This window comes from Homo sapiens, chromosome 1, assembly GCF_000001405.40.
Source record: "Homo sapiens chromosome 1, GRCh38.p14 Primary Assembly".
NCBI lineage: Eukaryota > Metazoa > Chordata > Mammalia > Primates > Hominidae > Homo > Homo sapiens.
Window position 1 is genome coordinate 207,617,416 of NC_000001.11, and position 24,853 is coordinate 207,642,268.

A 24,853-nucleotide genomic window follows, 5' to 3' on the forward strand; every position below is an offset into this window, starting at 1 on the left:
CCAATATGGCACATGTATACCTATGTATCAAACCTGCACATTGTGCATATGTACCCTAGAACTTAAAGTATATATATATATATATATATATATGTGTGTGTGTGTGTGTGTGTGTGTGTGTGTATGTGTGTATATATATATGTGTATATATATGTGTGTGTGTATATATATATATATATATATATATATATATATATAGAGAGAGAGAGAGAGAGAGAGAGAGAGAGAGAGAGAGAGAGAGAGAGAGATTGTACTCTTAGCCTCCATAGCTCATTCCTTTGATATATTAGTCTGGCTTTAAACGACAGTACCTGACAACTGTAGGCACATGTGTGGCTGTGACTGCCCACACCAGTTCCATCTTCCAGTAAGGACAGAACAGCACTGAATCGGTAGCTTGTCGATCCCTGTGGTACTCCCCCATCTGATCTAGTTTGAAGTTAGAGACTGTAGAGGATAGTGTTTAAATGTCAAGAGGTCTAGGTTTAGAGAACCCGTCTTTCACTGATCAAATAGGAGGGAGTGGCTTATGACCTGGCTGGTTGAGGTCTTCATGTACCTCTAATAGCCAGAGATATTGGATGTGTTCATGTATTCATATGTCTATGTTTAACTGAGTGTCTTTTCTTGTGTTTGTGTGGGAACTTGTTCTTAGCCTGCCCACATCCACCCAAGATCCAAAACGGGCATTACATTGGAGGACACGTATCTCTATATCTTCCTGGGATGACAATCAGCTACATTTGTGACCCCGGCTACCTGTTAGTGGGAAAGGGCTTCATTTTCTGTACAGACCAGGGAATCTGGAGCCAATTGGATCATTATTGCAAAGGTGACTTATTTCTTGGTATTCCTTATTCTTGCTGGGTTGTATGGAATGCATGAGGCTTGTAAGGCTGAGAGACATTGAAATGAGCTTAATGAAAGGGATAATATTTTTTTCTTCTCGGCAACTGCTTTCTTTTCATTTACATAAAATTATTTCATCTTATTAACTGTCCTCTTTGCATGGTCGATAGCAGTGCTTCTCCATCCAGAGCATTAACAAAATCACCTTGTTAAAAAGATTCTCAAACTCCATTCCATGGCCTCTGATTCTGTTTTAAAGTGGGGTCAAAAGTCTATTTTTAACAAACTCATCAGAATGCTCTGATGCAGGAAGACCACAGACCACACTTCAAGAAATACCACTTTGCCTTCTTGGTTTGTATCTAGGAAAAAAATATTGTAGGCTTAATTTTGAGACTATTACAACTGAAAAGAAGTCTGTGCTTGAAGATGAAGGATGTACTGATGGCTGGGCAGAAAAAGAAAGTAAAACAAAGGATAAGTTAAACAAAATAAAGTAGTCTGGGTGCGGTGGCTCACACCTGTAATCCCAGCACTTTGGGAGGCTGAGGCGGGAAGATCATGTCAAGAGATCGAGACCATCCTGGCCAACATGGTGAAACCCCGTTTCTACTAAAAATACAAAAATTAGCTGGGTGGTGGTGCGCGCCTATAGTCCCAGCTACTCGTGAGGCTGAGGCATGAGAATCACTTGAACCCAGAGGCAGAGGTTGCAGTGAGCTGAGATCACGCCACTGCACTCCAGCCTGGCAACAGAGCAAGACTCCGTCTCAAAAAAAAAAAAAAAAAAAGAAAAGAAAAGAAAGTAAATTAATTAGAAAGATGTATTAAATTCAGGCTGGGCACGGTGGCTCAGGCCTGTAATCCCAGCACTTTGGGAGGCCAAGGTGGGCAGATCACCTCAGGTCAGGAGTTCGAGACCAGCCTGGCCAACATGGTGAAACCCCGTCTCTACCAAAAATACAAAAATTAATCAGGCATGGTGGTACATGCCTGTCGTCCCACCTACCCGGGAGGCTGAAGCAGGAGAATTGCTTGAACCCAGGAGGTAGAGGTTGCTGTGAGCCCAGATCGCGCCACTGCACTCCTGCCTGGGTGACACAGTGAGACTCAAAAAAAAAAAAAAAAAAGAAAAAGAAAAAGAAAGAAAGATAAATTTTAAATTCACAATCATGATTTACTAACTTCTTTGTTCTATGTGCAGAAATTGGCCAGAATTATGCATTTAATAAAGAGCAGAGTGCCAGTATTTGTTGTGAAGCCAGACAGAATTAACATGGTACTCCTGTTCCCTCACAGCGTGACCCCAGTGGCTCCAGGGCTAGATCACCGTTAGCCTAATTCCTAATCTTTCCACAGCTTTCCAGTTGCAGAGCTGTTAATCAACAGTGAATGCACAGTACATTCCATATTCTATTACTTTACATTAAGAAATGGGAGTCAGGAAATGTTAAATCATAAGGTTTTTGGAGGAGGAAGATTAGTAACATGTTTAAAAACATGCTTCCTCTTAGCCAAGGGCAAAATAGGTTTTGGCTATTTTCTCCTATTCTCGCAGTTAAAACGGACAATCAACAATAAAATATCAATTTCTTTCTGATTTGTCTAATTTCAGAAGTAAATTGTAGCTTCCCACTGTTTATGAATGGAATCTCGAAGGAGTTAGAAATGAAAAAAGTATATCACTATGGAGATTATGTGACTTTGAAGTGTGAAGATGGGTATACTCTGGAAGGCAGTCCCTGGAGCCAGTGCCAGGCGGATGACAGATGGGACCCTCCTCTGGCCAAATGTACCTCTCGTAAGTGCAAGTGCAAGGAATGTGGGATCTTCCCGGTCATGGTTATTGCTCATTCATTCATCCATATTGGCATCAAGTGTAGTGTGATGTTTATGGCATATGCTATGAGCTATAGAGTACAATATGAGCATCCACCTATTCCAAAACTCCCATAGTGAGAGTAAGGCCAGACTTCCTCTTCTCATACTTCTCACTGCAGCTCTGCACCTTTTTTGTCTATATCACTTTGTGGTTGCATGAGCCACACAGTAATGATTTATTTACAGCCTACGAGCCTTACAAGAAATGTTTTCAGCATGAGTTAGGGAGCACCTTCCAAGCTGCAGAGAGCAGCCGGCCTGTCTCCCTCACTACTGGAGGGGACAGGATTTTAAGCTAGCACAGCTGGATAGAGCAGATTTAGAAATTACGTATCATTGAGCTCTGTAGAAGAGTAGCCCTCTGCTGGCAACTGGAAGGTACTGTAAGATAGAAAACTACCCACATCATGGAGCAGATGAGCAAAGTTAATAATGAACAGCCTTTCTTAATCCAAGTTAGTGCTACACTTTCCCTTCTCCCCATCTCTTATGACTCTTCTAATACATGGTTCTACACCAAGATTGTTCAAGATCCAGTTTTACAATTAATCCTGTAAATATGCTAATATGACTCGCAGATAATATTTCTAAATTATCAGCTTGACACTCCCTTAATATCAAATTATATTTGCTTTTTTGGCAAAAATCTCACTGGATAACTTACTAAATGCTTTTAGAGTATTCTGAAGATCTGGCTGGGACTGACAGAAAATTCAGGTCATTGGAGAACCAACCGTATCAAATATTAGAACAAAATATAAAGCAATAATACAAAAGTCACTTTGCACCAGGATAAGAAGAGACATACAAATAAGTGGAACAAAATTGATATTAATAAAATAAAGGGGCCAGGTATGGTGGCTCATGCCTGTAATCCCAGCACTTTGGGAGGCCGAGGCGGATGGATCACCTGAGGTCAGGAGTTTAAGACCAGCCTGGCCAACATGGTGAAACCCCATCTGTACTAAAAAATAAAAAAATTAGCTGGTCGTGGTGGCAGATGCCTGTAATCCCAGCTACTCAGGAGGCTGAGGCAGGAGAGTCGCTTGAACACGGGAGGTGGAGGTTACAGTGAGCCGAGATCGCTCCATTGCACTCTGGTCTCGGTGACAAGAGCAAAACATTTTTTAAAAATTGTCCATTAAATTAACAATAAAAAGGTTGTTAGGTGAACACCCAATACAAAGCAAGGATGTGATGAAACTGATATTGTTGTGTGTTGAAGGTACTATTGTAAATTTGCAAAAACTCTTATGAAAAACAATTATGAAATGTATGTGGAAAATAATACAACTATTCCTGCCAGTTAGCCCTCCTAGAAATTTAATCTAAGGAAATAATGTAAAATATTAAAATATTCTATGCATTTTATTAAGGGTTTCATGAGACAGAAACCTAGAAACAAGCTAAATGCACAATAGAAGTCATTGAATACACTATGATGCATCTACTAGATTATGTTAGTTTGCCTTTGTTGTAACTTATATTTCTAGTATATAATTATGTGAAAACACACATATAAGGAAATGTACCAGAACAGAATGTATCAAAACATTTTTTGGGTATGAGGATTGGGGTGACTTTTTTCTTTAGTTCTGTATTATAAATTTTCTTCTGTAATTGTATTAATAATAATTTTTAAAAGTCTTCTCTGAGTGCAGAAGGTAAAATGAGAGTATGTGAATGAAACCAATGGCTTTTTGCATTAGAAAAAATATTAGACTGAGTCCTGAAGAAAAATCAGGATGACTTGTCACTGGCTGAGAGGTCCTGTTCAATCATGTTGCATGCCAGAGTGATGTTTTGTGACTTTTGTCTTCCTTTTAGGTACACATGATGCTCTCATAGTTGGTAAGTTTTATGAAAGTTTTGCTGAGGAATTCTGGCATCTATAACAGTAAGTACCTACCTATAATGAATGAAATGTAAAAAGAGAGATCAAAATGTCTTGAGGTGTAAAGAGATCAAAATATCTTCAGTTGTAAGTTCAACTAGAAAGAAAATAATGATAAGTTAGGCCACAATATGGTGAAACTGGCATCGTCATATGCATACTAAATAACCTTCATCAAAGGCTCTTTACTATCTTTGAACCATTACAAATGAATAATCATTCATCAGTGTCAAAAATTCTTTATTTGAATGTGGTGGGAGAATGCAACTTCTTCTTTCAGTTGTAACCTGGAGTATGCTTCCAGATGGTGATCCTGCTCATTTGCACAAATAGAAAGCCATAAGACCAGTCTTCTGAGCCCATATCTGTGATTTGCCTAAATAAGAATAGTTTTGTAATAAAGTTTGCTTCCAAGGGAATACTGTGGCATATTACTCTTACATCCCTTTTTACGCATCTGGACACTGAGACACAGAGAGTTAACGTAACTTGTCCAAGACCACAGAATGGGGTAGCCTGGGTCTACTTATCTGTGGAGACTGTGCACTTTAACAATCAATAAATGGACAAAATGACCTAAATATGTAATTCAACAAGAGAGAGAATTCCAGTATTTTCACAATGAAATGCCTGTGTGTTAAGTCTTAGGCAAGAGACATGGGCAGGGCCATGGAGAGCTGGTGGCCAGCTGCCCCATCACGGTTCTCACTTACTTTTGGAAAAGCTGACATTGGACTAAACGTTACAAAACGGCTCAGCTCACACCTTAACTTTAATAACCCTGTGGGAGTGAGACTAATGCTATAGAAACCCAGAGTAAAGCAGAATGTATAGTTACATCTTTAAAAAAAAAAAAGCATTGGCAATCTGTAGTGGGACTGGATACTAAGATAGAATTTAAAACCTGTAAGTTATATTTTCCATGCATTTAATTACCTTGTTTTACTGCCTAGGCACTTTATCTGGTACGATCTTCTTTATTTTACTCATCATTTTCCTCTCTTGGATAATTCTAAAGCACAGAAAAGGGTAAGTATAGCCATATTATCCCAAGAAATGTAAACTGTACTTACCCCCTCTTGGAAGTCAAAAGAAAGTAAAAGACAAACAAACCCATTGCTACATAAACAGATGTGGTAATTCTTATAAAGAAAGTCCTTGACACACAGTATAGACAAAGAGGTATTCACACTAAAGGAAGTATATAGGATACTAAGAACAATTAAAAAATAATAATAATAACAAAAAAAAAGACCATTTGGCCAGGTATGGTGACTCATGCCTGTAATTTCAGCACTTTGGGAGGCCAAGGTGGGCAGATCACTAGAGGCCAGGGGTTCGAGACCAACTTGGGCAACATGGTAAAACCCTGTCTCTACTAAACATACACAAAATTAGCTGGGCGAGGTGGGACACACAACTGTAATACCAGCTACTCGGGAGGTTGAAGCATGAGAATTGCTTGAACCCAGGAGGCAGAGGTTGTAGTGAGCCAAGACTGTGCCATTGCACACCAGCCTGGGTGACAGAGTGAGACTACATCTCAAAACACACACACACACACACACACACACACACACACACACACACACACACACAGCATTTTAAGAAGGAATTGAGTTTTACAGAAAGAGAAAGTAGGCAGAAGGGGTTTTTAAATAGTTGTTCATGAGGCTGTTTGATATCCTAGTTTTGCTAAGACATTGCAGACACTGACCTCTAAGCCCAGATCCTATCATAGCACTAGAAGTTAGATTGGGTCACTTATGGCACACATATCATATGGCACACATAGGCTGCCAGTGGGGAAGAATTGAAACTTTCCATTGGGTATTTTAATATATAAACAAATATTTTGTAAACACCATTAACTTTTTTTTTTTTTTTTTTTTTTTTTTTTTTTTAAGACCGAGTCTTGCTCTGTCACCCAGGCTGGAGTGCAGTGGCACGATCTTGGCTCACTGCAACCTCTGCCTCCCAGATTCAAGCGATTCTCATGCCTCAGCCTCCTGAGTAGCTGGGACTACAGCCATACGCCACTACACCAGGCTATTTTTTGTATTTTTAGTACAGAAAGGGTTTTGCCATCTTGGCCAGGCTGGTCTTGAATTCCTGACCTCAAGTGATCCACCCGCCTCAGCCTCCCAAAGTGCTGGGATTACAGGTGTGAGCCACTGGGCCCAGCCATCATTAATTTTTTAAATTTGAAAGAAAAAAAACTTGCAAAGACTAAGATCTGAATAAAGAAACGTCTTTGACAGGGAAGAGAACCTACACAGCTTTTGTACTGGTTGATTGAATTATAACAACCTCAATGAGGCCAGAATCAATAATATCAATGTTATATGGTTGATGAGCAAGTTCTATACCCATAGAAAAACTGAATTTGTAACTTTTAAGTGAACGGTTTTCTATAGCAAATATTCTAAACAAGTACAGTTTCCTACAACAAGCTTTACAGAAACTGAAGTTTTGATATTTCACAAAGATGCCAATATACTTTTTAAAAAGTAGTTTGTCATAGTAGATCTTGCTGTAAAGAACCTAGACAGGAACTCAATTTCATGGAAAAATACTGAATTGGTAGATATTTAAATTTAAATATCCATCCTTCCTAACTAATGTTCTCTATATTTTACGGCTTGACATATATTCTTTGCTCTTTTCCATTACAAAAAGAAAAGGTAAGTAGCTGGGCACTTTACCTTAACAAAGTACTTGTGTCAATACATTTTTCCTCTTAAAGTTTCTCATTAAGTACCATATAATTAGTGAGTTAATTTTTTAAAAAATTACTACTACGTCTGAATTAAAGGAGTTGGGGCTTCTAATTTTCTGTATCTATATCAGTCTCTAGTTAAAACCACACAGGGGAAATGATTATCCCTTCTTCTTGGAAGTATTCAAGATACTTTAATATCTTGAAGATATTTGATTATCTCCACCCTTCTAACTATGTCATTCTTCATTACTTATGGTCCATTCCTTGTTAATCAACTAGAGGGTCACACTCCCAAGCCTAACTATTGATTTGTTTCACCTACATAATTTAAGATCATTTCCTCATATTAATCACCTTCAGGCATAAACATGACTCAATAACCATTTCATAAAATTATTTCTTTGGAAATGATTGTCTTGTAAAGTCTAAGCAACCTGAGACCATATACCATTTCTTCATGTTTTCCATCTCGTAAAACCTGCCTCCTATTTTTTTCATATTCTTTAAAGTGTAATGTCCATGGCACAACCATTCTCTCTCTGACCAGTGGCTACCAGAAATGTGGCAGAAAGAAAGATCATGATCCTCGTTAGACTTAAAGGTCAGGGATGTAAACCTCCCAAACATCTATGTAACCCACACTAAAACCTATTCTATATGTGTAATCCAGGAAAGTTTTTAAACATTTTCTAAACTTTTACTTTTGACCTGTTTCACTTCTTGGGATTGTAACTGCCTGATGTGTTCTTCCTGCCTGTCATACAGACAAAACCAGTTCCCTGAGATAATGGCATATTGCAGTAAAGAAAGAGATGAATTAATACAAGGCCAGTCACGTGGAAGAACTGGAGTTATCACTCAACTCAGTCTCCCCAAGAACACAGGGGCTAGGGTTTTTATAGATCATTTGGTAGGAAGGGAGCTAGGGAATGGGTACTACTGATTGGTTGGGGATGGGGGTGTGGGAAATGTTCCTCATGTGCTGTGTCCACCTCTGGTTGGGGGCCACAGGACCAGTTGAGTCATGAGTCACAAGTCCAGGTAGAGTCAGTCAGTTGCCAAATGCAAAAACCTGAAAAACATCTCAGAAGACCAATCTTATATTCTACATAGTGATGTTATCTATAGGAGCAATTAGGGAAGTCACAAATCTCTGAGCAGTAATGGATTATAAAACCTATGCCTATATTTTAGCAGAGTTCAGGTCCCTCTCCTAATCCTAATCTCTTGGCCTTTCATTAGGTTTCAGGTCCTGAGCAAGGAGAGAGCTAGTTTTAGGAAGAGACTGTTATTATCCTTGCTCCAAAGTTACATTATAAACTAAATTCCTTTCATGGTTAGCTTGGCCTACACCCAGGAATGAGCAAAGCCGGCCCACCTGTGAGGCTAGAAGCAAGATGAAGTCAGCCATGTTAGATTTCTTTCACTCTCAGAATCTTTGCAAAGGTGGTTTCAGCATAGTGAGTGCATTTATCTAACAAAACACCACTGATTTTCATGTTAGAAATAACACATAGCTAAAACTGGGAAAAAGAAGTAATAAACTTAAATAATCAGAAGGCAGAGGTCCCTTCTTTCGGAAGGAGTTGGGCTGATTAATCATGCAGTCATACCTCCTTGAGTGGGTGTGGCCAATAAGCTAAGTCATTGTGGCTATGTGAGGAGGGCTGATTATTCCTTATCTGGAGCTCAAGCTTTCCTCACAGAAAGACAAGGGCATAAAGGGCCTCATGGCAAAGAAGAAGGAAGCCATGTGGGAAACACAGAATATGAGTGGAGAGTATCGTAGTGGTCACCAAGTCAGAAGAGCCATTTATCCTGGAGCTAAAAAAGACTGACAGATATAGAATAGTGTAGAACAAGATGGCCTGCTCTATGGGAGAGCCACAGTCACACCAGGCCTAGAGAGGTGCAGGCTGACTTCTACCTCAAACACTGGAGACAATTCAGAAGCTGCATAAGCAGTCTGAAGACTTACTAAGAAACTAAAATGAGGCTGGGTGCGATGGCTCAGGCCTGTAATCCCTGCACTTTGGGAGGCTGAGGCGGGTGGGTCACCTGAGGTCAGGAGTTGGAGATCAGCCTGGCCAAGATGGCAAAACCCTGTCTCTACTAAAAATACAAAAATTAGCCTGGTGTAGTGGCACATGCCTGTAGTCCCAGCTACTCAGGAGGCTGAGGCAGGAGAATTGCTTGAACCCAGGAGGTGGAGGTTGCAGTGAGTTGAGATTGTGCCACTGCACTCCAGCCTGGGCAACAAAGGCAAAACTCCATCTGAAAAACATAAATAAATAAATTAAATAAAATAAAACAAGAAAAGAAACTAAAGTGATAGAGAAATAGAAGGAATACACACACAGAAATGATCTCACCTTCTTTAAAATGCTCCTCAAGGAGGTCTACTTTAACTATCCTAGTAAAGATGACATGACCCCACCCCCACATTCCTAGTCTCTCTTATCCTGCTTTATTTTTTTCATAGCCTTATTCTCTTTTATTATAATTAATTAAATAATTACATTCCATGTTTATTCTCTCTCTCCCTCCATGAAGTCGGGGATTTTTGTCCTATCTTCACCAATGGATACACAACAAATCTAAACTGTCCCTGGGACAAAGAGAGTCTCAATAAATATTTATCAAATGAATGAGTGAGCTACACACCACTAACAGTGTTACCACAAGGGGAAATTTCTGCCGTAATTCTCTACCAAGTTGAACAGTGCGTCTTTAACTTGTCCTAAACTTACTCCAGGTTTCAAGGCTGCTCCTTGTTCTAATATACCAACTGTCTCAGTCTGTTGGTATATATACTTGGGCAGTTATAACAGAAACTCCATAGACTGGGTGGATTCAATAAGCATTTAAGCTGGGTGCAGTGGTACCTGCCTATAGTCCCAGCTATCTGGGAGGCTGAGGCAGGAGTACTGCTTGAGCCAATGAGTTTAAGGCCAGCCTGGGCAATATGGTAAGACCATGTCCCTAAAAAACATTATGTCATTTCTAAAAACCAAGCATTTTTTTCTCATAGTTCTAGTGGGTAGAGAGTCCAAGGTCAAGGCAACTGCAAATTCAGTGTCTGGTGGGGATCGCTTTCTAGTTAATAGACTTCAATCTTTTCTCCGTGTTCTCAAATCAGAGAAAAGGAGTAAAGGAGCTCTCCTGGTCTCTTTTCTAAGGGCACTAGTCCCATTCACAAGGGCTCTGCTCTCATGATCTAATTACTTCTCAAAGGTCTCACCTTTGAGATCCTATAGTAATTAGATCCTATAAATTTTCAACATATAAATTTGGAAAGATACAAACATTCAGTCCATTGTACCAACACTGCATTTGGTAAGCACATATGCTTAAACGATATCACACTTGATTTCATGTGCCTTCTCAATCCTCAGCTTTCCCTGATTAAGAATACCTAATTACTCTGCCCATTTCCTCTGCACCCTCCACCTTGGCCTTTCCACTCACTATTACTACTATCTCCTGCCTTCTTGGTCTCTACTATTCTCCTCACCATCCCTGCTCCCTGGACTATGATCCCCTGTGAGCAGGGACCACCTATATCCACCCAAAGCAATTTTTATTTAATGATTTTTTAATCTCTACTTGTACAGCAGTCAAAATTAATAATAAGAGTAGAAATGGTTAATGTATCTACAAAAAGAGTTAACATGTTTATTTATAGGTTTATTTACCATTTATTATCTTCTTTGGTCCTCAAAGCAACTCTGTGAGGTAGGTAGGCCCAATCATATTGTTATCCCAAAGCATAAAACACTCTAGGTTCAAAGAAATTCAGTGGCTTGTTTAAAGCCAGTAGGAAGTTGTTAGGAATTAGGCCTTTAGTCCAGATTATTTAACTGGAAATCTTGAACTCTTTGTGCTAGTATTTTGACAATGTTAGTTGCCATTTCTGAATCTGACTCTATATTACTGAAATTCAGTATCCAGAACTGTACATAGTACAAACCTAAAGTATTTTCCTTTTTTCTTTCAATATTCTTTTTCTCCCTATATTTTACTGAGTTTGTTTTAGCTACTTTGGTATATTGAACCAGTATCTTTCTAGAGAACCGTATGCAATCTCTACTTTTTTTACTCTTTATTCTGAGTCATTAGGCTATAAAAAATTAAGGTATTTCTTTAAGGGCATCTTTCCATATTGAGATTTCCTGGCGTTTCACACAGACTTGGCAAGTTCTTCCTGTGATTTAATCTCACTGCCTTGTTATTTCACTAGTTAAAAATATGCGCCTGCACGTTTTGATATTTCACTGTGTATTTACAACAATAATTTGTGATAATGTTAAATAAGATAGGTCATAAGATAGGTCATGCACTCATCAGTGAGGAATAATACTGGTTAGACTTCTTCATTCAGAGCCCATTATTGCCTCTTGTTACTGCCTCGTACCCACTCCCATTTCTACACAAAACAGCCTTGTACACAGTCAAAATTTCAAAGTTTCCATTGTTGTGATGTTTAGAATGATAAAATACTTAAGGCCATCCTCTGTGAAGTCTCCCTGAATTTTCCTATGTTCACATTAACCACCAGTAACTAACCAAATAGCTCTTCATTCAACATATACTCACCGAGATCATATTCTCCAAAACCCCATGTACCACTCATCACCCAAGACCACCTTCAGAACACTACTCATCTTACCACTTAACCACCACTCCTTGGAAGGTCATACCACCTGGCTATATACCACTCCACTCTTCCTCATCCATGGATCTCAAGTGTGCCTTCCCTGTCCTGTGAAAACTCTGCCCCCTGAAGCAGTCTGCCTCTTTTTCTCAAATGATGCTGTCATTCTAATTTCCATAAGATGGTAAAGAATAACTGAGTGATGAGGAAACAGTGGTACATGTTGAAGTGAGTTAACTCTTCAAGCTTCCATTCTAAAATCCCTAATACCAACTCATACATAAAATCTCCAGGTACTGGTACTGTTTTATCATTTCATTGATAAAAGATGAAGTGTTTATTAACCCCCAAAGAGGCAGTGTACCATACCAAGTGAGGGTGAGGGCTTTGCAACCGCTAAGGCCTGTGTTCACAGTCACTCACTCTCTATGAGACCCTGAGCAAGATACTTATCCTCAGTAAATTTCATTTTCCTTGCCTGTGAAATGGAGATAATAATAGTTCCTACCTTACTTAACATAGTGCCTCATTTATGATGCATGTCAGAAAATGTTAGCTATTATTTACACATGATTGTTATTACTGATATTAAAAAGTGAGTAAATATTTCTTTTTACTGTTAGTTCTTAAATACCTTCATGACAGCTACTGCTGCTCCCCTAACCGTGGATATTGCTTGTACAGAAAACAGAACACATATCTTCACTATAGGAGAAAAAGGAAGCCTCGTGTAACACTGCAGTGCAAAGTCATTCATGTTGTGCAGCTTAAGTGTCAAAATCTCGATGTAAATCCTATTTACTAATCAAAATTATGTCAGAAATAGTGAAATGTGTTAAGGCATGGACATCTGCCTATAAACAATTTAGAGTACTCTGACAGAAAATATAGGATGATTTTAGTATTATTTTCTAATCTAAGTTTTTGCTTAGTATTAAAAGATGAGATTTGGTTATGATTTTCCTTTCAGACGTCTTGCAAAGATATCAGGAACTTAAGGCAAATAATACCTTAAATTTCAAAATGCAAATTACTAATTTCTTTCAAAACAGATACTTAAATGATTAAGACAGTTTTTCTATTTTTTTCTCTGCCAATTAGCAATAATGCACATGAAAACCCTAAAGAAGTGGCTATCCATTTACATTCTCAAGGAGGCAGCAGCGTTCATCCCCGAACTCTGCAAACAAATGAAGAAAATAGCAGGTACCTATATACATACTGAATTCAAAATGTTTTCAACAACTCAAATATCAAAAATGGAAACAGGACTTGAATATGATATTGCACTAGGTAGGTCATTGATACCAAAGAATTTAGAAAGTACTTCAGGAGTTGGAAACTTCTTTTTTTTTTATTGGATTATTATTGTCATTTCCAATGTTTTGGGGTGATGACTCTATAAGTTAGTACAGTCACAGTCACTACTTTTTCAAAGCATTCCTATAATTTCCTGTATTTATGCTATGAAACTTTGAGAAGTAGTATGCTTTTTTCTTGTGGAACCCAAGAATTTGCTGCCTGCTTGTACCTCCAAGTCTTCCAGCTTCCCTTAAATGCACAGAGTCACTTTAATGTCCTCTAGAGACTTTCACTTTACCTCCCCAGCCACCAACCCCCTTGATTTCTGACTTCCACTGAATTCTCTACTTCATTTGGCCTCTTTGACTGCTCCTTCTTTTGGTCCTCATTCCCTTGGGCTTATTAAATACCTAACCTTTCATTCTACCTATTCAAAGCAGGCTTACTGCAAGCTGTTGTGCAGTACACATTGCTAAAGATTTGGGGTGAAAAGGGAAATTATACCATTATCAAAAGTGGTATGTATCAATATTAGAAATCACTGAACTGAAAAGTAACTAGTACACCAGGGACCTGAAAACTACCACCTGTGAGCCAAATCCAGCTGGCCACTTGTTTTTGTGAATAAAGTTTTACTGGGGCACAGCCACACCCAATCGTTTGTCTACTGTCTCTGGCTCCCTTTTATACTACAACAGCAGAGCTGAGTAGTTGCAACAGAGACCCCAAAAGCCAAAAGTATTTACTATCTGGCCCTTTAGTGGAAGACTTTGCTAACCCCTGAACTATATCATACTATGAGAAATTTCTCACTGGCTAGTTCCCCTTTTAACCTGGGCTTTCCATCCTCTTCCCAGGCCTCTCTCTCTCATTGGATACTCCTCTCTTTTGTTCAAATCTTTACTGCATTCTCAGGGTATGCAGTAAATACAGGCATTCAGACTCTCGGGCTTCTTGCAAATTCAAAACTCCATTTTTCTTTAAAATTCAGAGCAATTTATTTGGCTCTGGCTTACTTTGGCTATGCCCAAGAATCCTAAAATGTCCTACCCATAGGTGTTTGGAACATTTTCAGGAATAAGATCACCATATGCCCTAGAACAGAATTAGGCCAGTCCTGTAGAAAGCAGAAGCAAAAGCACCACAATCATTACTGAATTTCCTTTCTTTATGTCCTACCTCTTTCTCATATACCTGTGCATTAATCTAAATTTGGCATGTTACACCTACATACATCAGAAATCCTAAATTCAACAGAGGACAGTGGAAGGGGCCCCAGGAAAAGTAAAGGAAGTGGAAAAGGTATTTTATAGTTAACCAAAACATAAGTAGAAGCAATTCAAACTTTTCTAAACAAAAAATTACAGATTATGTCCTATTTTCTCCTATAATAGAAATGAATTTGCAATGCCCTGTTTATTATCTGTCTTCCTAGTTGCTTTGCTTCTAGCTTATTTGTCATTACTGTTTATGAAAACAAATGAAATATGCATTGCTTTTTTAAAATTCAGAATTGATATTTTACTTTTTGAAGCTTTAATGTTTATCTGGCCTGATCCTTCTCAAATGGGCATATGTATACACTGGGGGATACATGGCTAATGCTAATATACCAAGGGGATATAAAAATCATAAGATGAAAATGGCATGGTTTCCTAGAGAATATATTTTTCTAATATTACTCCAATAGTTCAAATAAAAATTGTATTATTTCAACATGAACACAAACACATTTATAAGGGAGGAAAAGACAAATAAATAATGCAGGAAGTTTAAGATAAAATAAGACGGCTGGGCGCTGTGGCTCACGCCTGTAATCCCAGCACTTTGGGCGGCCGAGGCGAGTGGATCATGAGTCAGGAGATCGAGGCCATTCTGGCTAACACGGTGAAACCCCTTCTCTACTAAATACACACACACACACACAAAATTTAGCCAGGCGTGGTGGTGGGCGCCTGTAGTCCCAGCTACTCGGGAGGCTGAGGCAGGAGAATGGCGTGAGCCCGGGAGGCGGAGCTTGCAGTGAGCCGAGATCGCGCCACTGTACTCCAGCCTGGGTGACAGAGCAAGACTCCGTCTCAAAAAAAAAAAAAAAAAAAAAAAAAAAAGATAAAATAAGACAGAAAATATTGTGCTTTCAGGGATGCTTTAGACTATGTCTCCAAAGTTCTTGCGTGAGGCATTCATTTTCCTTTACTATCAGAGTGCTATGGGGGAAAAGTCAGGCAGAACTGATTCAGGGCCAGCTGTGTGGCCACTCATTTACAAACAGACGAAATAACAGCAGACTGGAAGAACAACAACCATTTTTACAAGAGTTCATTTTAAAAATATTCCACAATGATAAATTATTTGATTTAGCCTCATTCCTGTCAGATTACCTGCCTAAAACACTTTTCCGCCTTTCTTTCTATCTAAATTCCCTGAACCCAGCTCCAGCTCTGAATTCAATCAACCAAGATGCTCTCCCAAACAACTCTAGTCCAAAATGATATCTCTCTTTGAAACTCACATTTCCTGACTACACCATTTAAAAAATAAACTAATTTATTTTAACAGTAATATCTCATCATTGTTAAAAACAAGAAATAGGGGAAAATATAAAAAATATAAAAATTACCTGCAATAATCTCTATCTAGTAGTATTCTTAAGCTTCTTTGCATATTGTTAGACATTTGCATATACACCTTGAGATTATATTGATTGCACAATATTGAATCCTGCTTTTTTTACCAAATGACAAACATTTCTCCCATCATTATAACAGTACATAACCTATAGTAATTGACATTTCCTGTGTTGTTTTTTGCCTGTTAACTCTATTGCATTCATGTAGTTGCTTATTTATTCTTCAAACATTCTTAGCCACTTACAATGTGCCATACATTGTGCTTATGTGTGTTTTCTTTTCCATGCTAAATTAACTTCTGATGAATAGAGACAATTTTTTAAAGATCTCCCCAATCTCTGAGTATAATCAAATGAGAAATGTTCAGTAATCAACTGAGCACGTTAATCAATTGAGAAATTTTTCATGCACGTCCCTGTGAAGAGATCACCAAACAGGCTTTGTGTGAGCAACATGGCTGTTTATTTCACCTGGGTGCAGGCGGGCTGAGTCTGAAAAGAGTCAGCGAAGGGAGATAGGGGTGGGGCCGTTTTATAAGATTTGGGCAGGTAAAGGAAAATTACAGTCAACGGGGCTTTGTTCTCTGGCGGGCAGAAGTGGGGGTCGCAAGGTGCTCAGTGGGGGAGCTTTTTGAGCCAGGATGAGCCAGGAAAAGGACTTTCACAAGGTAATGTCATCACTTAAGGCAAGGACCGGCCATTTACATTTCTTTTGTGGTGGAATGTCATCAGTAAAGGCGGGGCAGGGCATTTTCACTTCTTTTGTGATTCTTCAGTTACTTCAGGCCATCTGGGTGTATACGTGCAAGTCACAGGGGATGCGATGGCTTGGCTTGGGTTCAGAGGCCTGACAAAATTAATTTATGAAAATTTCATTTATCCTCAACTTTTTGGAAATACTCTTACATCAAAGTACACCTCAAATTGTGTACACTGACTACTGATCACTTTTCGGTAGGTATAAAGTCCTTAAAAATTTTGTTTCAACTTTCCCTTTTAAGATTAGAATTTTGACCACAGTGTTCCATGGGAACAAAGTGAATCATCTGTGGCAAAATATGCTAGTCAAGAAGTGAGTTAGAATCTGTGCCAAGCGTTAAGACCTTGTGCACCCAGGTTCTGGGGCGGAGTAAAGAGGCAGGCTCCAAAGACATAGCTGTGTGTTGGACATGAGAGTATTTGGAGGAATACAGGTAACAGGTGATGCTGGGAAGTCCTGTGAAATGGAAGGAGAACGAAGATGAGGAATCTGGTGGCAGTAATAACCGGGGAACAGATGAGCTGGAGGCCTCATCAGGAGGGGTGTCCCTTGGTGGAAGGACACCATTCCCGGCCTTAAAAGGAGACGCTTCAGCACGGCTGGGGAAGCACGTGGATACCTTGTACTAAATCCACTACTGCAGCTCATTCTTAACTGTAAGTAGAAGAGGAGGACATGCTTTCTGAAGCTGACCCCTCCAAGATGACCAGTTCCTATTTCTGTCCCCTGCTACCACCATGGTGTAGAACAACAGAATCAAAAAAACATTTTTTCTGTTATGGGTGACCTGTACGTTTTCTAGAATGGAAGGAGGCTGTTTAGTAGCTCAACTCTGAGAACACTTTTTCTTTGGACAAAATTAAAAAAGGAAAAGGTCAAGTTAATCATTAATCTCTCTGTTTTCTACTAATGTCTCCATTTTCGCCATACTTTCTATGTCCTACATAGCAGCCATCACAGAGGGCAATAAACACTTCTAATGACCGTGTAATTTATATGGAATGCTGAAGGGGTGGGTTGGCCCTCCACACCTGTGGATGTTTCTCATTAGGTGGAACTAGAGACTTGGAAAAGAAAGAGACACAGAGACAAAGTATAGAGAAAGAAAAAAGGGGGCCCAGGGGACCGGTGTTCAGCATACGGAGGATCCACCGGCCTCTGAGTTCCCTTAGTATTTATTGATCATTAATGGGTGTTTCTCGGAGAGGGGGATGTGGCAGGGTCATAGGATAATAGTGGAGAGAAGTTCAGCAGGTAAACACGTGAACAAAGGTCTCGGCATCATAAACAAGGTAAAGAATTAACTGCTGTGCTTTAGATATGTATACACATAAATATCTCAATGCCTTAAAGAGCAGTATTGCTGCCTGCATGTCCCACCTCCAGCCCTAAGGCGGTTTTCCCCTAACTCAGTAGATGGAATATACAATCGGGTTTTACACCGAGACATTCCATTGCCCAGGGATGAGCAGGAGACAGATGCCTTCCTCTTGTCTCAACAGCAACGAGGCGTTCCTTCCTCTTTTACTAATCTTCCTCAGCGCAGACCCTTTACGGGTGTCAGGCTGGGGGAAGGTCAGGTCTTTCCCTTCCCATGAGGCCATATCTCAGGCTATCACATGGGGAAAAACCTTGGACAATACCTGGATTTCCTAGACAGAGGTCCCTGCTGCCTTCTGCAGTGTTTTGTGTCCCTGGGTACTTGAGATTAGGGAGTGGTGATGACTCTTAACAAGCATGCTGCCTTCAAGCATTTGTTTAACAAAGCACATCTGCACAGCCCTTAATCCATTTAACCCTGAGTTGACACAGCACATGTTTCAGGAAGCACAGGGTTGGGGGTAGGGTTACAGATCAACAGCATCTCAAGGCAGAAGAATTTTTCTTAGTACAGAACAAAATGGAGTCTCCTATGTCTACTTCTTTCTACACAGACACAGTAACAATCTGATCTTTCTTTTCCCCACATTTCCCCCTTTTCGACAAAACCGCCATCATCATCATGGCTGTTTCTCGATGGTTGCTGTCTCTTTGGAGCTGTTGGGTACACCTGCAGACTAACAACAGACAAAACAGGCACACAAGGATTAATATGAAATTTATAATCGTAGTACTTCCGATGGTCTTAACCCAAGTGACAGGGTTAAGATTTGCGAGGCCATCAGCAACTCCTGCGATTGCCTCAGTTCCTGGCACCAAATTTAAATGGGCTTTTGATGTTTCAAAAATTTGTTCCTTTAATTTGGAAATGTCTAAAGTGAGATTATCTTCTGTTCCCTGTAGATGGCATCTGACCATGTCCCAGTGATGCTCAGACTCATTATAAACTTGGGGTGTAATACAAAAATCTGAGATATTCCAGTCACACTGTAACTGGAAACGATGGTCTAAGTTCATAAGCCTGTCTCCCATCCAAATGACAGTTTGTCTAAGATCATTAATTTGGTTTGCCAATTTTTGATCAATACCAGATTGTGAATTCCACAATCTTGTAGAATTTTTTTGCCAATCATTAACAAAGTTTACTGACTGAACAGAAGAGTGCAATGCAACTCCTGCCATAGCAGCCGTAGCTGTGACTGCAATTAATCCCATAATCACTGTAATTAAAGTAAAAATGAATCTTTTGGATCTATTTAAAATGGCTTTTAATACTTCAGTCAAAATATGGACGGATGGCAAGGCCTCCCACGGTTGGTCCATGGACATAGAAATCCACACGGCTTCTCTTGCCCTCACCAGCAGAATACACTGTTGCCAATTAAAAGTTGAATAAATGCAAGTAAACAATCTGCAATTTTCACAGCTTATAGTTTGAGAGTCTGGTTTAATAACTATATTTCCTACAACTAGCATATAAGGGGGCTTTACACAGGTTTGGAAAGGAACTGTTAGACTGGAATTTAGGTTGATAGTATAAAATAGCTTACGATCTCGTTTCTAAAGTTTGATTTCTAGACCAAATTCTAATGCAGTATGAGGCCACAGTAAGCCTCCATAATTCTGGATGTTCAGGACCAGAAACAGGACTTATTATTTTTGGTCTTGGGGTAGAGATTCCTTTTTCTCCCTATTCCCAAGGGTAGAAAGACTGTAATTTTTTAGCTTATGTTTGTCTAAACTTTCTGTTAAGTCGCTATCAACAGCTAGACTCACTTGTGCACTGGGACACGACTGAGTTTGTCCTGTGCAATTGTGGTAGAATTGACCTCGAGGTGCCCAATCTATAATAGTTCCGAATTCACTGTTTTGTAATATCACCGCACTATTGGCCACACATTCTTCCCAAACTAAAACTTCTGTATTTTTTGATCCTTTGGGAATTTCCTTGGGGCAAGGTTTCCCTTTAGGTCTAAATTTTAATGATCTTTGATAAGAAAAGTCTTGTAAATAATTTACCCGTGGCCTGAGTGACATCCCGCTTACCATGTGATAAGTGAATCTACTGATGGGACTGACAGTAGGTACTTCTACCAACCAATTTTGGACTGCAGGCATTAAACATCCTGGTGCTCTCCCTAGGCAGATAGGAGGATAATGATACCCAATGGAAATATTTATCATCATCCCTTCTTCCTCAGGTTTGGCAGGGCAATGATCATCTGTGGGGCCAGGTACCCATACACTATCATTAACATATACTTCAATAGGATTATCCATCCATGTGACTGGTGTTTCCATCTCCGCGGTGGCGCTTTTCTTTGCATCTCCGATGGGTTCATCGTAGATCTTCAAATGTCTAGTGGGTATCCAAACAGGAAGCTGATTTTCTCCTGGTGAAACACAAGCAAAACCTCTCCCCCACGTCACCACCTTCCCTATTTCCCATGTCTTATTTTTATTATCTTTCCACCAAATCAGTTTTCCTTCATGTGGGCTGTTCTTTTTACCAGTAAAATGTTGTTCTGCAGAAGTAGTAGTCTGATTTCTATAAATGTTTAAAAAATTTAAAGTATAGAGTGCTAGATTAAGTTGCATCTGAGGAGTGGTACATTCCTTACTGTCTCCCCCTTCTTTTTGCTTAACTGAGTTTTGAGTGTTCTATTAGTTCTTTCAACTATGGCCTGTCTGTGGGAATTATAGGGAATTCCTGTTGTATGTGAAACTTTCCACTGATGTAAGAATTTTTGGAAAGCTTTACTACAGTATCCTGGTCCATTGTCAGTTTTGATCTTTTTCTGGAACTCCCATTACAGCAAAACAAGATAATAAATGTTTTTTAACATGGGAAGTACTGTCTCGATTATCTGGCCCTAAACAATGTAAAATCACAGTACTTTGATACACTTCTGAGGCTGTGCCTACGCTGACAAGCCCTGTAACAGCCTTTAGTTTAGGCCAATTTTTGGCCACTGATTTAAAGCAATGATAGAGACATCTGCTCCAGTGTCTACTAACCCTTCAAACTGTTTTCCTTGAATAATGGCCTTACACGCAGGTCTGTTCTCTGAGACCCGACTTGCCCAATATGCAGCCTTTCCTGTTGGATCAGTGCTTCCAAACCCTCCTGTTCTTTTTATCTCACTATTTCCAACCTTAATATAAGGCAGGAGTAATAATTGCGCAATCCTGTCTCCTGGACTGGCACTCCAAGGAATTGAAGAGCTAATAACCAATTGAATTTCGCCATTATAGTCTGAATCAACCACATCAGTACGAATTTGAACTCCCTTCAGACTTAGACTTGATCTACCTAAGATTAGTCCTACAGTCCCCTCAGGCAGTGGGCCATATACCCCTGTGGAGATTTTTTGTGGGGGCTCCCCTGGAAGCAGAGAGACTGCCTTTATAGTACATAAATCCACAGCTGCACTGCCGCTTGTGGCGGGGGACAATTGTTGTACTGTGGTAACTGGCTCATTCCCTGAGGCACTTGGGACAGTGGGGGTTGTTGTCCCTGAAAACCCTGAGGAACAAAGGGCTGAATTGGGAATGCCCCAGTTTGTTGCGGGGCCTGAGGCTGGCCCCTTTGCTCATTTTCCCGACAATGGTTGCCCATTTCTATCAAATTTAGAATGACATTGACTAGCCCAGTGTTTTCCTTGTTTACATCTTGGACATAAGTCAGGTGGCTCTTTTTTATTTGAGACTGGGCAATTCTTTTTTAGATGACCAATTTGATCACAATTATAACATTTCCCTCCAAATGTTCTAACTTGTCCTCCTAAAGCAACTCCTGTTATTGTGGAATAAAGTTTAGAAAATATCCAAAGCTTATCAGCCTGTAAATTCTGGGTAGTTCAGTTGTCTACCATGCTGTTAATTAAATGAAAACATCCTGTTATTTCAGGGTCCTTCCTTGACAAAGTACTATACAGCTGAAGAACATCTCGAATACAATTTTGGTGGGAAAGGAGCCAATTGATTTCAACAGAATCAGATCTGAGCTTCATAAAGTCTTTGAAGTGACTTCACAGAGACGCAGACATGTGCACTTGAAGATGCTGCCCCTTCCCTGGTACCTAGCAAAGCTCCTGCCTCTTTGTGTGCGTCACTGTGAAACCCCCACCCTTCTGCCTCGTGCTAAACGCACACAGTATCTAGTCAGGGGAAAAGACTGCATTTAGGAGATAGAAAATAGTTTGGATTACTTAAAGGAATAAGGTGTTGCCTGGAATTTCTGGTTTGTAAGGTGGTCACTGTTCTTTTTTAAAATATTTGTAATATGGAATGGGCTCAGTAAGAAGAGCTTGGAAAATGCAGAAAGTTATGAAAAATAAGTCACTTATAATTATGCTACCTACTGATAACCACTCCTAATATTTTGATTCATTTTCTGCCTATCTTCTTTCACATATGTGTTTTTTTACATACGTACTTTTCCCCCTTAGTTTGTTTCCTTTTATTTTATAGAGCAGAACCCTAGTCTTTTAAACAGTTTAGAGTGAAATATATGCTATATCAGTTTTTACTTTCTCTAGGGAGAAAAATTAATTTACTAGAAAGGCATGAAATGATCATGGGAAGAGTGGTTAAGACTACTGAAGAGAAATATTTGGAAAATAAGATTTCGATATCTTCTTTTTTTTTGAGATGGAGTCTGGCTCTGTCTCCCAGGCTGGAGTGCAGTGGCGTAATCTCGGCTCACTGCAAGCTCCGCCTCCCGGGTTGACACCATTTTCCTGCCTCAGCCTCCTGAGTAGTTGGGATTACCAGTAGATGGGACTACAGGCACCTGCCAACACGCCCGGCTAATTTTTTTGTATTTTTAGTAGAGACGGGGTTTCACCATGTTAGCCAGGATGGTCTGGATCTCCTGACCTCGTGATCCACCTGCCTCGGCCTCCCAAAGTGCTGCGATTACAGGCATGAGCCACCGCGCCTGGCCGCTTTCGATATTTTCTAAACTTTAATTCAAAAGCACTTTGTGCTGTGTTCTATATAAAAAACATAATAAAAATTGAAATGAAAGAATAATTGTTATTATAAAAGTACTAGCTTACTTTTGTATGGATTCAGAATATACTAAATTAACTTTTTAAAACACAACTTTTAAAAAATGTATCAAAATAATAAACGTGTTCTGATATTTTTAAAATAAGTGACCTTGTGTTCTTTAACCAGTCCACATCTTTAGAGAACAAAAATGTGTTATGATATTATGGGCCATGCTAATGACCTCTAGAAAACATCAGAATATTTCTGGATATTTAATAATAGCTTTATATATGACTAATGCTCATTTCTATGTAATTCTGTTTAATAGTTGCTTTAAAGGTGAATTTTGCCACATTTACTTTGACAGCAGTATAAGGAGTGAGATAGACATGAACCTGAATTTCAATTTAAAATCATGGAAGAGAGGGAAAAAAAACCAGCTTAAGAAAAATCAACTGATAAACTGCAAGAAAAAAATGCAACTTACATCACAAAAGCTAATTGCTTTATTATTTAGAGAGTACTTAAAAATTAAAGACCAAACTTCTCTCCACCCAACAAAAATGGGCAAAGGACATACAGCTAGGTCACCAAGAAAGAAGGGCAAATAGGTGGTGAGTATATGTAAAGATACTTGATAGGACTTTTGCTTAGTTGAATCTTTAGCAAATCTCTTTTATTTCTTGGGATTTTGAAGAAGTAATTTTTAAAGGAGGACTAGAAACTAAGTGATTGGGAATTGGCCTTTTTAGAATTAAAATTTCCCATTACAAGAAAAAAAAATCCTGTGTTCTTTTTTTTTTCCAGAATGGAGTAGGTCAGTGAGCAATGTGATTAATAAATATTTCAATGTCTGTGACTTTTGATTTATTTTGGAGACAGGGTCTTGCTCTGTTACCCAGGCTGGAGTGCAGTGGTGCTATCTAGGCTTACTGCAACCTCACCTGTCACTTTTTAATTGCAAGAAAGCTGAAAGGTTTTTTTCTATTATATCAGTTATAATGATAAATACTGTATATACTAACTATGAGTAAAATACTATATTGCCTAACTTGTATTATTAAGCAATTCTGCTAACCTGTGACCTTACATTTTCATCTGAAAAGCAGGGGCTGGACACCAATTGCCCTATGAAGCTATTGCTAGTCCTAACATTCTTTGTTTTGTTTGCTTTTTTGGCACACTTAAGTGTGTACTATGAAGTTTATGATGCTTTAATGAAATTTTCTGTCTCTACCATTGTAATGAGAAAGGAATAAAATACTTTATTTTGCAAATCTACTTATGGAATATAGTTCTGTACCTGATTGTTTTCATAATCCCTGTGTTGATGTGTAATGCCACAGACATGCTCTTGATAGTAACAGGAAAGAAAATCAGACACAGCTAAACATAAAGGTCAGTTGGCTGGCAGGTGCTTAGCAGGTGTAAATAGAGGCCCATTCATGCTGCTCCACTTGCTCCTGAAAAGCATAATGTAAATACAGTATACTAATTAGGAGGCAAAGAACCATCTAACATGGTTCTTTTTTTTTTTTTTTTTTTTTTTTGAGATAAAGTCTTGCTCTGTCACCAGGCTGGAGTGCAGTGGCGCAATCTTGACTCACTGCAACCTCCGCCTCCCAGGTTCAAGCAATTCCCCTGCCTCAGCCTCCTGAGTAGCTGGGACTACAGGTGTGCGCCACCACGCCCAGCTAATTTTTTGTATTTTAGTACAGACGGGGTTTCACCATGTTGGCCAGGATGGTCTAGATCTCCTGACCTCGTGATCTGCCCACCTCGGC

General features: G+C 39.3%; 1 protein-coding gene across 1 annotated transcript in view, besides 3 other annotated features; it reads left to right on the plus strand.

Annotated features, from left to right (window-relative positions):
• The window catches only part of CR1 (complement C3b/C4b receptor 1 (Knops blood group)), a 145,609-nt gene extending 121,259 nt beyond the window's left edge, over nucleotides 1-24,350 (plus strand). Inside the window, exons 42-47 of the mRNA NM_000651.6 lie at nucleotides 656-832; nucleotides 2,465-2,650; nucleotides 4,558-4,581; nucleotides 5,578-5,653; nucleotides 13,102-13,206; nucleotides 21,982-24,350. Of these exons, the coding sequence (NP_000642.3) occupies nucleotides 656-832; nucleotides 2,465-2,650; nucleotides 4,558-4,581; nucleotides 5,578-5,653; nucleotides 13,102-13,206; nucleotides 21,982-21,994 (581 nt within the window). The 3' untranslated portion in view covers nucleotides 21,995-24,350. The remainder of the gene's footprint in view (nucleotides 1-655; nucleotides 833-2,464; nucleotides 2,651-4,557; nucleotides 4,582-5,577; nucleotides 5,654-13,101; nucleotides 13,207-21,981) is intronic.
• Nucleotides 16,061-16,732: an enhancer, noted in NCBI's record as "OCT4-NANOG-H3K27ac hESC enhancer chr1:207806821-207807492 (GRCh37/hg19 assembly coordinates)". NCBI's record gives its function as "activates a minimal SCP1, AML or CMV promoter by ChIP-STARR-seq in naive and primed H9 embryonic stem cells {active_cell/tissue: H9 hESC(naive and primed)}" and the evidence as "EXISTENCE:reporter gene assay evidence [ECO:0000049][PMID:30033119]".
• Nucleotides 17,403-18,074: an enhancer, noted in NCBI's record as "NANOG-H3K27ac-H3K4me1 hESC enhancer chr1:207808163-207808834 (GRCh37/hg19 assembly coordinates)". NCBI's record gives its function as "activates a minimal SCP1, AML or CMV promoter by ChIP-STARR-seq in naive and primed H9 embryonic stem cells {active_cell/tissue: H9 hESC(naive and primed)}" and the evidence as "EXISTENCE:reporter gene assay evidence [ECO:0000049][PMID:30033119]".
• Nucleotides 18,075-18,746: an enhancer, noted in NCBI's record as "OCT4-NANOG-H3K27ac-H3K4me1 hESC enhancer chr1:207808835-207809506 (GRCh37/hg19 assembly coordinates)". NCBI's record gives its function as "activates a minimal SCP1, AML or CMV promoter by ChIP-STARR-seq in primed H9 embryonic stem cells {active_cell/tissue: H9 hESC(primed)}" and the evidence as "EXISTENCE:reporter gene assay evidence [ECO:0000049][PMID:30033119]".